This window comes from Homo sapiens, chromosome 6, assembly GCF_000001405.40.
Source record: "Homo sapiens chromosome 6, GRCh38.p14 Primary Assembly".
Classification (NCBI taxonomy): domain Eukaryota; kingdom Metazoa; phylum Chordata; class Mammalia; order Primates; family Hominidae; genus Homo; species Homo sapiens.
The window spans coordinates 85167114-85168925 of NC_000006.12; the positions used below are offsets into that span (position 1 = coordinate 85167114).

Consider the following 1812-nt stretch of genomic DNA (forward strand, 5'->3'; position numbering starts at 1 on the left):
TCTCTGTCCAAGAGCAAAATTTCTTTTCAGATGGTTCCTCTTCTTCCCCTTGATAGAGGGGTAAGTTTCTGATGCTGACTGGCACCTTACCGTTCACATTGGAGATATTCAGTATTGAGCAACTCTATCAGAAGATGGTGATTGGTGCAATCAGCAATGTCCTACCTGAAATCTCCTTTGGTAATTTACTGTGGTCTCTAAGTTTGGTAGCGAAGCTCAAGAACAACAAAATGGCCAGCTTCCAAGAGCACACAGCATCTTGGGTTACTTTGGGGACTTCTCCATTTTTTTTTTAAGAACCCAATATGAATCTTATCCAGGAAAATCTGTATCCCAATATGGCAGCAATAGCAACCCACAATATTCATTTGAGATATTTTGAGGTAACAGCACCAAGGGTTTTATAAGAACACGAGTGCTATTGAGATAACCAGTGGCTTCAAATACCAGTCTTATTGGTGTACAAACTGAAGATAACTGTGTTACAGTCAGGAAGCATTGCTGATATTGCTGTTGCTGTTGTTTTTCATTAGGATTTATTCAGACAATGCAAACTGAGAATGAGGCAATCCTGATCACCACTATCCATACTATCTCTGAAAGGCTGCCATTTTTACTTAAAGGTCTTCATGTTGAACTTTCTGACGAAAAAAGAATGTACAAGACAGGTGACAAAAATTACCTAAGAATTCACTAGCTCAAATTCTCTCTCAAAGAAGAATGAGCAAATGAAATGGAAAATTGAGAGGCACATGAACAGTGGAATAAGTAATCTGTGGAGCTCTTTTATGATTGCTCTTGTGTGAGAGCTTTATAATATCAGCCAAAACTATTCTGTCTTTCTCCCTCCCTTCATCTCCTCACTCATTCATATATGATCTTTCCAGAACAAAGTCTTTCAAAATTTAAGTGTCTAAAATAGACACTCACCCTTTCACAAGACATGCTTAAGTTTGTTTAAATATAAGTGGTCAACAAAGTGCCAAAGATAGAAATTGTATAATGGGCAAAGTTTTGTTTCAACAGGAAAAAAAATGCCCTTGAGGGAATCTAAGATCAATGTTCTAAAAAAGTGACAAAACCTCAGTGTTTCTTTCCTCAAATTTTTAGTCTGGATTTCCCTAGAGAATGCACAAAACCTGAGGGTTTTTTCCTGAAATTTTTAACCTGGATTTCCCTTTAGAAACTGAGTTTCACGCATTCCTTACCGGAGCCTGACCTGCACAGCCTGCTACAGAGGAAGCAATGAGAGACAAATGGCTAAACAAAGGTAGTAATGGGAAACAACTGAGTTCTTTTATGTTACAAAAACAGGTAATTAATTCTCTCCTTTTCTATCTCTTATTAACCATGACTTGTGCACTCACTTTGTTTTAGTTTCTCAGTACCACAGGGATAGGTTTTAGCCAAACTGGAAATATCTGTCTTAATAAAGGTCTACCATAGGCTTATTGAGAGCTGGTCTGTTTTTAATATTGAAAATACAAGCTGTATTTTCATAGAATGTCCACATGGACAAATTTCCTGTTCTTGATTACACCGTGTGGTTTGGGTTCTACACTAAGCCTAGATTAAGAGATTTAATCATTTTTGTTTTTAGAAGAAGAGAAGAAAGGAACCAAATTCCACTTCTTTTCCTACCTAGATTTAAGATCATGGTATACTTAAGACATTTACAATCCAGCCCTGTATTCCATAAACTTTAGTCAAAGGTCAATACTTTAATAATCCACACTATTGTCCAGAAAAAAATTTATCCTTGGAATTTTCTTACATTTATAAAAGATTATTGATTTTATCTTAGGTCTTGGG

The 1812-nt window shown here is 36.3% G+C and overlaps 1 annotated feature.

Annotated features, from left to right (window-relative positions):
• Positions 983–1588: an enhancer, noted in NCBI's record as "OCT4-NANOG hESC enhancer chr6:85877814-85878419 (GRCh37/hg19 assembly coordinates)". NCBI's record gives its function as "activates a minimal SCP1, AML or CMV promoter by ChIP-STARR-seq in naive and primed H9 embryonic stem cells {active_cell/tissue: H9 hESC(naive and primed)}" and the evidence as "EXISTENCE:reporter gene assay evidence [ECO:0000049][PMID:30033119]".